The 12,902-nt window shown below is 40.7% G+C and overlaps 1 protein-coding gene and 1 long non-coding RNA gene across 3 annotated transcripts in view; both read right to left on the bottom strand.

The window, feature by feature from the left end:
- Positions 1-12,902, bottom strand: part of LOC105379149 (uncharacterized) — a 49,301-nt gene that overhangs the window by 14,371 nt on the left and 22,028 nt on the right. The window lies entirely within an intron of this gene.
- FTMT (ferritin mitochondrial) lies at positions 11,583-12,534 on the bottom strand. Its single transcript, NM_177478.2, has one exon. The coding sequence runs from the start codon at positions 12,450-12,452 to the stop codon at positions 11,724-11,726; it is 729 nt and encodes a 242-aa protein (NP_803431.1). The 5' UTR covers positions 12,453-12,534; the 3' UTR covers positions 11,583-11,723.

Below are 12,902 nucleotides of genomic sequence, written 5' to 3'. Positions count from 1 at the left end.
AAGTTTTTTGCTGGCATAACCTCTCTGGTATATCTTTCATCCTTTTTGTCATAACTGCTCATTTAGGTGAATAAGTTCTAATAATATTCAATTTGACTTCCTGCATGATTGCTTTTCATTTATTTGCTGCACTTACTTCTTTTGACTGGCTCACTCTTTGGATTATCCATTTTTTATAAATGTTACCTGGCTTTATTACTGGGAAACAAGGAGACAACTACACACTTTATGATCTGGGGATAAACCTCATAACAGATGAATGATGACCAATCTCCAATCTCAGGCAGACCTTGAAAGAAGTGACATGATTGATTAGTACCTGATCATGACCTGCATCTGGTGGTTATATGGTGATTTGTGGGCCGAAGAGCCAGCAGCAAATCGGTTCTTTATGCAATTAATTCTCAGTAAATATACTGTGGTAGCTGAAGTTTGACCTGTGTTATTGGAGTATTGCTGTTATAAAACTAAACTGTAGTAACTGAAATTATGCATAGTGGAACAATGCAAAGTGAGGACTGCCTGTATTTTAATCTATGGCTAAAGGGAGAGTAAAACAAACAAAAATGTTGGGAAATGCCTTAGGCTGGATTAAACAAAAATACAAGTCCTCTTTTGATCAGTCTTCCAACTTGCTATTTGGATTACTTCTAAATTTAGTGTGGGAACATATTATAGTGAAGTGCAGTATATGTATGCTGTTTAGAAGTGAGTAAAATTAACAGCAGTTTTTAATTTATTTGCTATATTTACAGTTTACTGTTTTTGAATAGGTAATAAATTCAGGTGGTTAATATTTGAAGAGATACTAAAGGCTATACAATGAAAAAGTCTTACTGTGTTCCCTTTCCCAACTACTATTCTTTTCATTTAGGATAACTGACATTATCCTTCCAGAGATAGTTTATGCATATATAAGCAAAAAAATTCACAAACACATTCACATCACTTTCTCTCCCTTTAAAACACAAATTCTAAGCAGCTAATATTTACTGAGTATTTTCTAGGCACCAGATAATATGTGAACTATATATGCATTATCTCATTTAATCCCCACCATAAACTTTGTGGTGGGTTATTATTTAGTGGAGAAAAATCGGTCTCCGGCAGTTTAACTTCTTTCCAAAACCACACAGTCAGTATGTGGTGGAGTAGCTATTCTTATGTAGGTATTCTGCCTTCTCGAGGGGAGGCTCTTAATGACTAGATTACATTGCCTATGATCTGTATATAGGTCATGCAATTCCAATTCAGTAGTCTAGCAGTCCTTTTACGGTATTGGAAATTCTTTTTGCTATTTCAATCTGTGAAAACATGGTGCTTAGGGCGTTTGAGAGAAACTAAGGTATTTCCAAAAGCATTAGATATCTTTCTCAAGAGAATATTTGGCCATCATCTGTACTGGGAAATTGGCCGGCTTGCTTGGAGGAAGCCCAACCCTGAGTGCATGTCTGTGTCTGTTGTCCAGAATTGCCAGGCAGTCCCACTCCTTGTTGGGCATTGGAATTCCATCTGATACTCAGTATATATGCATTTATGCATGCACACACACATTTCTTTATTTATTCCTTCATTGACAAATATACCTATTAAGTGTCTTAATCATGCACAATAGAAATATGAAGTTCAGGAAAGCTAAAAATCACATCCCAAAGCCTATGTACTTTTCTGATTTTATTACCTGAGAGCTGCTTGGCAGTTTATGCTAACAGCCTGTTATAAGCAGAGATAATACAGTTGTCAGTTCTGCTTAGCAATTGTGCGTGTTTCCCAGACGTCTATTTTCTGAATACATCTCTTGGTGCAGTTTTGGAGGGAGTGGAGAAATGTCTTGTGAGGGAGTCTTTTTCTCCACCATGCATTCCTCTCACTTTTCTTTGTTGCATTGAAGGTGCTGGATGTTTTCTCTTGCCTTTTATCCAAGTGCAGAAAGCTTGAAGTTCATGTTCAAAATTTTAAAAAGTCAGGTCACACACACACACACACATGCACACACACACACTCACTCTTTTTTCTGGGAGATCTTGGCATGAATTTTAAGGGCTTCTCCAAGAAATTTCTACCTTTTAAATGAATTACACAAAACCTGATTAATAATTGAATATGAAGGATGATGATTTTCAAGAGCTACTAATGTTAGGGGACTGTACTATATGTTTTTCTGCAAGTCTGAAGGCCTTGGATCTTGGTATCACTGGGTATTTATGTTCAAAATTCATACAATCTATTCTAATATTTAGGGGCTTGGAATCATTTCTTTCAAATACTAGGTTTCTGTTTGGAAATATACCCTCCATTTTGCTCAATTCCAGGAACGTATTTTTTAAATTGTGAAAGCTTCTGTATTTAAATTTTAGACATAGGGTAAACACTTATTTCCTATCTGTAAAATAACTTACATTGACTTATTTTTGTAATAATACCTGAAACATAAAATTAAAATATTTCTGTATAGAGATAGCCATATCTCAGTCAATTATCTAATTTGCTCCTTTATTTAGAAGTTTGAGCTCAACCCATGTAAGCACCCTAAATGTGCCCTCTTCTCATTTTAAAACCTGTCACTTCTTCCCTCTTTCGTGCAAGCTAGTTTGGAATGACATGTTCTTCCAGGTTGCATCTGAGCTCTTTATCTTGTGCTTTGTTCTTCCATGGAACCTTGTTCTGTCACTTGCCTCTCATGTTTCTCCCTTTTGCTGGCTTATTTCCTTAGCCTAGCAATGTTCACAGCCATCCTTACCCTCTTTCTCCTTCAATTATTTTTAAAAAATAAACTCAAAAGAGAATTCTATGTTCTCCACCTCATTTATTTTACCACAACTCTTGAAGTCCCTCTTCTAAAATAATCAATGACTTATGATGGCCAACTCTGATGAATCCGTAATCTAATTAAACTGCAGGATTTGATAGAAGTTCTGTCATCTCATGGCTTACAAGTCCAGTGTTCCCTTTTCTGTATCCTTTCATGAGTTCTTTATTGAATCTCTCCTAAATGTAGACCTTCTCCCACTTTCTACGTTTCTGTATTTGGGTCCCTCTCCTCTGTTTCTCTTTTGTCTCCTGTTTCCTTTGTCAGTTCAGCTTTTTCACGGTTTTACTTATCAACTTTATATAAGTAACTTCCAGACTCATTTCTCTGATATTAACTGATACTGAGAGAGATTGAGAGAGAGGGAGTGGGGAGAAAGAGAGAAAGGCCTGGGGAAAGAGTTATAATGATACCTCTTTGACCTAACTATTCATATATCTATATGAATGTTAAGACCAAAAAGGTATCATATTCATATATTCATATACATGTGAATAGTGAGGTCAATATACAATATACATAGAGTACATACCATATCCAATATACATGTGTATACAAGCAATATACACACAGTATTATGTTGTATACATATATTAGTGTATGTATATTATACATAGTATATATTATATATATTGCATATAGTATATATTATTGTATGCATATTGTTGTTGGGAGCAAGCCCCCCAAAATCTGGCCATAAACTGTCCCCAAAACTGGCCATAAACAAAATCTCTGCAGCACTGTGACATGTTCATGATGGCCATGACGCCCAAGCTGGAAGTTTGTGGGTTTACTGGAATGAGGGCAAGGAACACCTGGCCAGCCCAGGGCGGAAAACCGCTTAAAGGCATTCTTAAGCCACAAACAATAAGCATGAGCGATTTATGCCTTCAGGGCAGGTTCCTGCAGCAGTTAACTAGCCAAACCTATTTCTTTAATTTGGCCCATCTTAGTTAATCTAATATCTATAGAAACAATGCTAATGACTGGCTTGCTGTTAATAAACATGTGGGTAAACGTCTGTTTGGGGGTCTCAGCTCTGAAGGCTGTGAGACCCCTGATTTCCCACTTCACACCTCTATATTTCTGTGTGTGTGTGTCTTTAATTCCTCTAGAGCTGCTGGGTTAGGGTCTCCTCCACCGAGCTGGTCTCAGCAAGTGGCTTCCATTCGTGGGGGCTCGAATCCAGGTCGAAGGGTCGCAAGAGCGATGGTTGGAACGGAAAACTAGCTGGAGGACACCGAGTACTCTTAAAGCAATCCCTGTGGTGAGTAAGAAGGGGAGCTCGGAAGCATCAGGGTAACAATGGGACAGGTATGGGGTCTGGTTCGCTCCACCTTGGAACTTTTTCACAGATAACAAGGAGGAACAAGAGTATAGCGAAGTAGCAGAAGAGGTTACAGAGCATGTTTATTTGCTGGCTAAAGCTAAAGCGGCAAAGGAAGGAGAGGTTCATCCCTACCATTCTGCACACCCTCCTTATTATTTTGAAGAAAATGACCCCCCAGATCTTTCTTTTCTGGAGGACGCTGGGTGAAAAACAGTTGCCCCAGTGACTGTTTGAGCAGCAGCAGCGCCTCAAGTGACTGCTCTTAGTTCTATTCAGGCAGGAATTCAGCAAGCTAGACAAGAGGGTGATTTAGAGGCTTGGCAGTTCCCTGTTAGAATACACCCCCTAGATCAACAGGGAAATATTACAGATACATTTGAACCTTTTCCTTTTAAATTACTCAAAGAATTTAAAGAAGCTATTCATACTAAAAAAGAATGTGGAAAAAATCAGTGAGTCAGGCCACCAGATAGGGGAAAAAAGAAAACTGCTGATCCTGAAATATGTCCAAAATGTAAAAAAGGAAAACACTGGGCTAGTCAGTGTCACTCTAAGTTTGATAAAGATGGGAACCCGATTTCGGGAAACGCCATGAGGGGCCTGTCCCGGGCCCCGTTCTAAACCAGGGCATTTCCAGCTCAGGCCATTCCCTCACCCCTATACAATGTCTGTCCCCTGCCACAGCCAGTAGTGCCGCAGTAGATTTATGCTGCACAAAAGCTGTGAGCTTTTTGCCTGGGGAACCCCCGCAAAAGGTCCCGACAGGAGTTGGTGGACCCTTGCCAGCAGGGACTATAGGATTACTTTTAGGAAGGTCTAGCGATAGTTTAAAAGGCGTACAAATACATACAGGAGTCATTGATTCCGATTACAATGGAGAAATTCAAATTGTTATATCTACTTCTGTTCCCTGGAAAGCAGAGCCAGGAGAGCACATAGCACAGCTCCTGATGGTGCCGTATGTGGGAATGGGAAAAAGTGAAATTAAACGAACAGGAGGATTTGCAAGCACAAATAAACAAGGCAAAGCAACTTATTAGGTAAATCAAATTACTGATAAACGCCCTACCTGTGAAATAACTATTCAAGGAAAGAAATTTAAAGGTTTGGTAGATACAGGAGCGGACATTTCAATCATTTCTCTACAGCACTGGCCGTCCACGTGGCCAATTCAACCCACTCAATTTAATATAGTTGGAGTTGGTAAAGCCGCTGAAGTATATCAAAGTACTTATATTTTGCATCGTGAGGGGCCTGATGGACAACCTGGGACTATTCAACCGATTGTAACTTCTGTACCTATAAATTTATGGGGAAGATATTTATTACAACAATGGGGAGCACAACTTCTAATTCCAGAACAATTATACAGCCCTCAAAGTCAATATACAATGCATGAATTGAGGTATGTCCCTGGTATGGGACTAGAAAAAAATTTGCAAGGTTTGAAAGAACTGCTTCAAGCGGAAAAACAAAGTTCCCGCCAAAGGTTAGGAAAAAATTTTTGATGGCAGCCATTGTTAAGCCTCCAGAACCTGTACCTTTACAATGGTTAACAGATAAGCCAATTTGGATAGAACAATGGCCGCTAAGTAAAGAAAAACTGGAGGCTTTAGAGAAATTAGTTGCTGAACAATTAGAAAATGGGCACATAGCTCCAACATTTTCTCCTTGGAATTCTCCAGTTTTCGTAATTAAGAAAAAAATCAGGTAAATGGAGAATGTTTACTGACTTAAGAGCCATCGATTCAGTTATACAACCTATGGTAGCATTACAGCCAGGATTGCCTTCTCCTGCTATAATTCCAAAAAATTGGCCTTTAATAGTCATAGATTTAAAAGACTGTTTCTTTACTATCCCTTTAGCTGAGCAAGACTGTGAACAGTTTGCATTTAGAATTCCTGCAGTAAACAACCTGTAGCCTGCTAAGCGTTTTCCTTGCTTTGCAGATGGGTCTGGTAATGGTAAAGCTTCTTATTCTGGCTCAAAAAGTAAAGTTTTTCCGACGTCCTATACCTCAGCTTAAAAAGCGGAGCTTGTAGTGGTAATTGAGGTATTGACTGCTTTTGATATGCCTATTAATGTGATTTCTGATTCTTCATACTTGGTTCACTCCACACAGTTAATTGAAAATGCTCAGTTACGATTTCTTACAGATGAACAACTGGTGACTTTATTTACCCAATTGCAAACAGCAGTTAGGAGTAGAATGCATCCTTTTTACATCACTCACATTAGAGCTCATACACCTCTTCCAGGACCTTTAACTAAAGGGAATCAAACGGCTGATCGCCTAGTTGCTACTGCAATATCTAATGCTAGACACTTTCGCAATGTAACTCATGTTAATGCCTCTGGTTTCAAACGTAGATACAGCATTACCTGGAAAGAAGCTAAAGCTATTATCCAGCGATGCCCAACTTGCCAAATGGTACATTCCTCATCTTTTACAGGAGGAGTTAATCCTTGAGGACTGGAACCTAACTCACTTTGGCAAATGGATGTCACACCTGTTCCCTCGTTTCGGAGACTCGCTTATGTACATGTGTGTGTGGACACCTTTTCTCACTTTGTCTGGGCTATATGCCAAACAGGAGAGTCTTCTGCCTGTGTTAAATGTCATCTTTTGCAATGTTTTGCGGTGATGGGCATCCCAGTTTCTATTAAAACAGATAATGCCCCTGGCTATACTAGCCAAGCTCTGGCTAAATTTTTCTCTATGTGGAATATTAAACACATTACTGGTATCCCATATAATTCTGAAGGTAAAATAATAACTTGGGGTAGAGGTTATGCTTGTGTTTCTCCAGGCAAAAATCAACAGCTGATTTGGATACCATCAAGACACCTGAAACCTTATGAGTCAGATTCCGGGAGGATCCCCAGGACCCCTCAGTTGCAGCCATGTTGAGACTGACGCTGAGGAGGACCCCATCTGTCACAAGCAACACCTGTCGAGCGCAGCACCCACCTGGGGACAGATCAAGAAGCTGTCAGAGATGGCGGAAGAAAATCTGAGGAAAGCAGGACAACCAGTCACAATGAATAATTTAATGGTAGCTATGATAGTGGTGATCACTATTGCTGTGAGTATTTCTTCAACAAGAGCTGACACAGAGAACAATTATACTTATTGGGCATATTTATCAATCTTGGCTGGCAATAATGCCTGGATGTAATCACTCTATGACACAGTTACACATGCTTTCTGATCTCAGTATTTACCATAATAAATCTGCTCCTATAATTGAGGCATACCGCCCTCAAAAACCTATTTGTAAACAGGATTGGACCCAGTTAGAAAAAATGAAGGTACTTGTTTAGGAAGATTGCTTTGCAGAACAGACAGAGGTGCTGCACAATGATTCCTATGGAATCATTATTAATTGGTCCCCTAAGGGAATGCTTAGCTTGAATTGCACCTCTCAGTCTGTGTGCCACGGGCACACTGTGTTCAGATCTTACCACCTCTTACACACACACACACACACATGCACACACACAGAGTACATATAGAAATATCAGGTCAAAAAGATTTTAGGATCTCATATCACAAAGCACCTTGTGGACTATAGTAAGGATCCTGACCTTGACTTTTTCTCCAAATTAAAGAAGTTATAGGAGAGTTTTGAGCAAAGAAATAACAATAAATGACTTATACTTGCAAAGGAACACTTTGGCTGCTTTGTGAAGAAGTGACTGAATGTTCCTAGGTGTGAAAGCAGTTAGATCTGTTAAGAGTGTGACATATTTGGATTGCCGGGAATATTAATTAAAAAAAAAAAACAAACAGAGTGTGACATAAAATGTGATAATGGAAAAAAAAGGTGAGAGCTTGTACAGAAGTGGCAATGATGAAGCCTTTAAAAAGTGGTGAGATTCGGGATCTATTTTAGAGGAAGACCTGAAAGAACTTGCTGAAAGACCTGACTTTGGTATGAAAGAGAGTAGTCAAGGATGACTGAGCCATGGAAACTGGTAGATTGGAGTTTCTATTCATTATGAAGCAAAAGACTGGGTTGAACAGGTTTTGGAGGGTGGTGAAATAAAGAGTATGGCTGTGACCCTGCTAAATATGAAGTGTCTATTAGGCATCTGAGGGGAAATATTGATTAGGTATTTAGATATGTAAGTCTGGAGTTCAAAGATGAGCTGAAGCAAACTAAAACATGCGATTTGTTAACCAATATATGTTTAAATAAAAGTCCCCGGATAGGATGAGATCTTTAAGGAACAAGTATAGATAAAGAAGTCCAGATGTGAGGACTGAGCTCTGGGACACTCCAAACTTTAACAGTCAGAAAGATGGGAAGAGATTAGAAAGAGCGACTGAAATACAGAACAGTAAGCACATGTTTCAACAGAGAATGGACAAGTACTTCTAGGAAGACTGGGAAATTGACCATTGAGCTTATTAACATGAAAGTCACTATTTTTATTGACAGGAAATAAAAAGGCTAGTGTAGTGGTGAACATGGGCTTCCTTGGGAGGGATCAAGAGAGAGCAGAACAAGAGGTGGAGACAGGAAGAAGAACAACTTTTTCAAGAGGTTTTGTTGTACGAGGGAGATGAGTAAAGAGGGGTAGCTTGGTGTTTGCTGGATGGAATGTGAGTCCAGAGGTGGCATTTTTTTAAGGATGAGGAGAAATAATACAGTGTTTGCATTCTCATGGTACTAAGTGATAAAGAAGGCAAAGCTGCTGCAAGAGAGAGGATAACCATAGGTGTGATATCCTTGTGTCCTTGCCTATGTGGGGAGGTTAGGATTGAGGACATTGGTTTTAAGGAGGAACACTGATGCAACAACCATTCTAGCAGAACAAAATCTAAGTGAACACAGATATAAGCATATGATTAATTCAATGATGAAAAAGTGTGAAGTTCTCCTTTAGTACTTCTAATTTCTCAGTGAAGTAAACGGATTATCAACTGACAGTGGGGAGGGAGAGGAGATTTGGAGATTTGAGGAGAAAAGAGAATCTGTAAAATAATTATCTAGGAGAGCAGCTATTGAAAGTTTTTGACAGAAACACAGAATAAGAAATATCACTATCCAGGATGTAAATTCACAACACACACACACACACACACTCTCTCTCTCTCTCGCTCACACACTCACACACCTGAAACAAGAGCTTCAGGAAATAATACCCTTACTTCACCTACTGTCGCTTCAATTCTACTCTATTTTATTCACAAAACGTGTGTAGTGACTCAGTAAATATTTCGTGACACACTAATGGGCTGCAAGGTACAGTTTGAAAACCATTCATCTAGAAAAATTGAAGAGATTTTGTATAGAAATATAACAGGATTCCTGAGCAGCAAAATAGGCCCACTTAAGAATAGAATGTAAAGTGAGAATGATCAACAAAATCAACAAAAATCATTATGCATTCCCCCACCTCCAATTATCCCTCCTGCTGAGATCTCTATTCTCAAATATCCTATTCTCTAGTAACTCAAATTTTAGACCCATCACGTTTTCTCCCACACCTCATTTCTTTAGCTCCAGTCATTAAATTGATCACAAAATTGAAATGATTCTGCCTCTAAACTCTTACCAGAATCTCTGTTTGTATTTCCATTGGTTTTACCATAATTCTGGCCTTTATTGCTTTTCCCTCCATCTTACGTTTTGCTTTTCTTGTCTTATTATAATAATGGCTGTCCATTATAACAAATGTATTTTTAAGAGACATGTAATTAAAGAAAATAAATATCAACCACAATCTCACTATTTAAAAGAATTTTCTGGCTTTGCTTGTTGGTATATATACTTTGTCATTTTATATACGTATATAATATGTCTTATAATTGTACATATAGAATTATATAACCCCATCTTGTAATATTCCTCATGTTTAACATAAAACATTGAGAATTTCTATCCACATCATAAGGTGTTTGTACAAAACCATATTTAACAATAGCTGCAGAGTATTCTGTGTATTAATCTAAAACACTGAGTGTTTGGTGTTTTAATCTAAGCCATTTTGTTGCGCTTGTGCCGTAATATGCATGTAGCTCTCAGGTCTTGGACTGCAGGGAGCACAATTTGCCAAGAGCCTCAGCTGCCGTGCTCTGAAATTGATTCATTACTTGGTTTGCTGCAAGTCCATACTTCCCAGTCAATACCTAAATACAGGAAAGGTACTTAGGCTCATTTCTGGGAGACTTGGGATTCCTGACTAGTGACTTTGGCTTGAGGCCTCCCTGACAGCCTTGCAGACCTTTCCAAAGAAATATGCACAACTTCCCTTCTTCATCCCCCCGGGGGATTACATTTGCATGAAGTCTGAAGGCTCTCCCTGCTTCTCCCACTTGCTGCTTTTCCATTTTCTCTCAGAGGTCTGTTTCCCCTAATTTCTTGTACACTTAATCCCATTTTGGCATCAGTGTTTCAGAAAACCCAAACTAACAGAGATATTTAGGTTGTTTTCAGATTCTTATTCTGTATAACCAGACTAAGCCTCAGATTGCTCCATTTTGAGCACTGTTTTCTTCTGTTAAGAGCCTTTGAAGACCTTGCTTTTGTCCCCTGAATTAAGCCCAAACCCTTCTCACCTCTGTACTCTGCCGCAGCTCATCTTTCCAATCACCACTCAGTGTTCTAGTCTATTCCAATGCTGGACTCTCCCACTCCTCACTTCCATGCCTAAAGAAAACATCTACCTGACTAGATGCCTCCTCTATTCTGGATCCCTTCTTGACTTTTTAAACCCCCATGTTCTTTTCTGTCCATTTTAAAGACCACAGAAAGGTGTTTTATGCAGTGTTTTCACTCTTCTTGGCAGGTTAAAAGAGAGACTCAATGGTGAAGTATATAGAGTGTGGAATCAGGTCTGGTTTGTTATATTACCAACATTAAAACAACAAAACACTGAGATTGCATATGTTTGGAAAACACTGAGCTAAACAAAAATAATTAAAGCTTTTATATTTATTAACTGCAAAACTTCCCAGAGCCCTTAAAATGTTAATATATGCTGTGATTTTCCAAGACTAACACTGATAATTCATGTAGCTTATCCCAAATTTGACTACGAATTCTTTTAAAAAACGATCTCCAGACAGTACTGCTTCTTGGGACACACTGGGAAAAGGCAAAAGCTGTCATAGCATTTTTGCATGTATAATTTTCACAGTACTAAATATTCTTCACTTATAGTTATTTGTATATTTTTATCCATTTTCCCACTTTAGCGTTTTGCATAAGGTATTGAATATGGCAGGCACTTGTTGAATTAAAAATCACAGAATTTAAGTGTAGGTTCATATTCTGATAATACTTGGCAACTGGAGAACGTTAGTTTGCACCCTCTTTCAGTAGCTTTTTGGAGTCTTTTTCTATACCATAGTTACCTGTGCTATCTTCGAGCCTGGGAAAATAACTGCCTTGATGGTTAGTAAAAAGCCCTTGTTAAACATGGGCAAAACATTTTTTTCTACAAATCACTTTATTGGAGGAATAGTATAACAGAAGAATATAAAGATGGAGGTGATTTTAAGGGCAAGAAAGCAGGAGACAGCTGACTTTGGTCTTTGGATCCACTAGCCTGGGAGGAAGGCAGCTCGTGGCTTAGTTCTGCTTGTTTTCATTTCCAAGGGTATGTGTGTCAAAAAGGTACTCCGCCAGGCCAGCATCCGGGGCCCCCATCTTCACTAAGTTGTGCACGTGGTCACCTAGTTCTTTGATAGACTTCACCTGCTCATTCAGGTAGTAGGTTTCCAGGAAATCGCACAAATGGGGGTCACCTTTATCTGAGGCTAGAGCGTGCAATTCCAGCAACGACTGGTTCACGTTCTTTTCCAAGAGTAGAGCACACTCCATGGCATGCAGCCCGCTTTCCCAGTCGTCCTGTTCCGGCTTCTTGATGTCCTGCAGGCGGATCCGGCCTCCTCGCTGGTTCTGCAGCCTCATCAGCTTCTCCGCGTGCTCGGTCTCCTCCCGGGACTGGTGAAGGAAATACCTGGAGAAGTTGTTCAAGGCCACGTCATCCCGGGAGAAGTAATAGGCCATGGACAAGTACACGTAGGACGCATAGAGCTCGAGGTTGATCTGGCGGTTGATGGCAGCCTCGGAGTCGGGGTGGAAGTTCTGGCGCACCCGAGAGGGGCCGGCGGCGGGCCCGGTAGGGTCCCGGGAGGAGGCGGCTGCGGCCAGGGGGCGGCGGGGGGCGATCTGCCTGGGGTCCAAGGGGCGCCCCGGGGCCCAACGCAGCGGGAGCGCGAAGCAGCAGCGCACCGGGCGCAGAGACGCCAGCGAAGGGCTGATGTGCCTGGAGAGGAGCCTGAAGCAGGACAGCATAGCGCCGCCTCCTTGGAAGTGGGGAAACTGAGGCCCGGCCCTCTTGGCGTGGGGTCGGGCGCTGGAGGCGTCAGATCTGATCAGAACGTGGCCCTAGGCAACGGTGACTGCGTCACACGCCCCTTCTGTTCCAGAGGCGCGGGGTTCCACGCGGAGGGCGCTGGGGAAGCGCCGCCGGGGGCTCTGGGGACCCGCGTGGGGCGCAGTCTAGGCGGAGGCCAGCGCAGATGCCCAGTCACGATTCCGTGAGCATTCGCCCCCACCGACGACGTGAGATTTCTGCTCTTTGGCGATTGTCACTGATTTCACCTGCGTTAAAAAGGCTGTCAGGAGAGTAGGCCCTGGGACTTCCCAAAGAAGGGACCAAGCTGTACTCCCCCTTCTTCTCTGACCTTTTCATAAGGACCAAGAGTTGGACTGGCAACACAGTGAAAAGGGTGAACCAAAAGT

Source organism: Homo sapiens, chromosome 5, assembly GCF_000001405.40.
Source record: "Homo sapiens chromosome 5, GRCh38.p14 Primary Assembly".
Classification (NCBI taxonomy): domain Eukaryota; kingdom Metazoa; phylum Chordata; class Mammalia; order Primates; family Hominidae; genus Homo; species Homo sapiens.
Note: the sequence above shows the minus strand (reverse complement) of the source record. Positions and strands in the feature narration are given on the sequence as shown.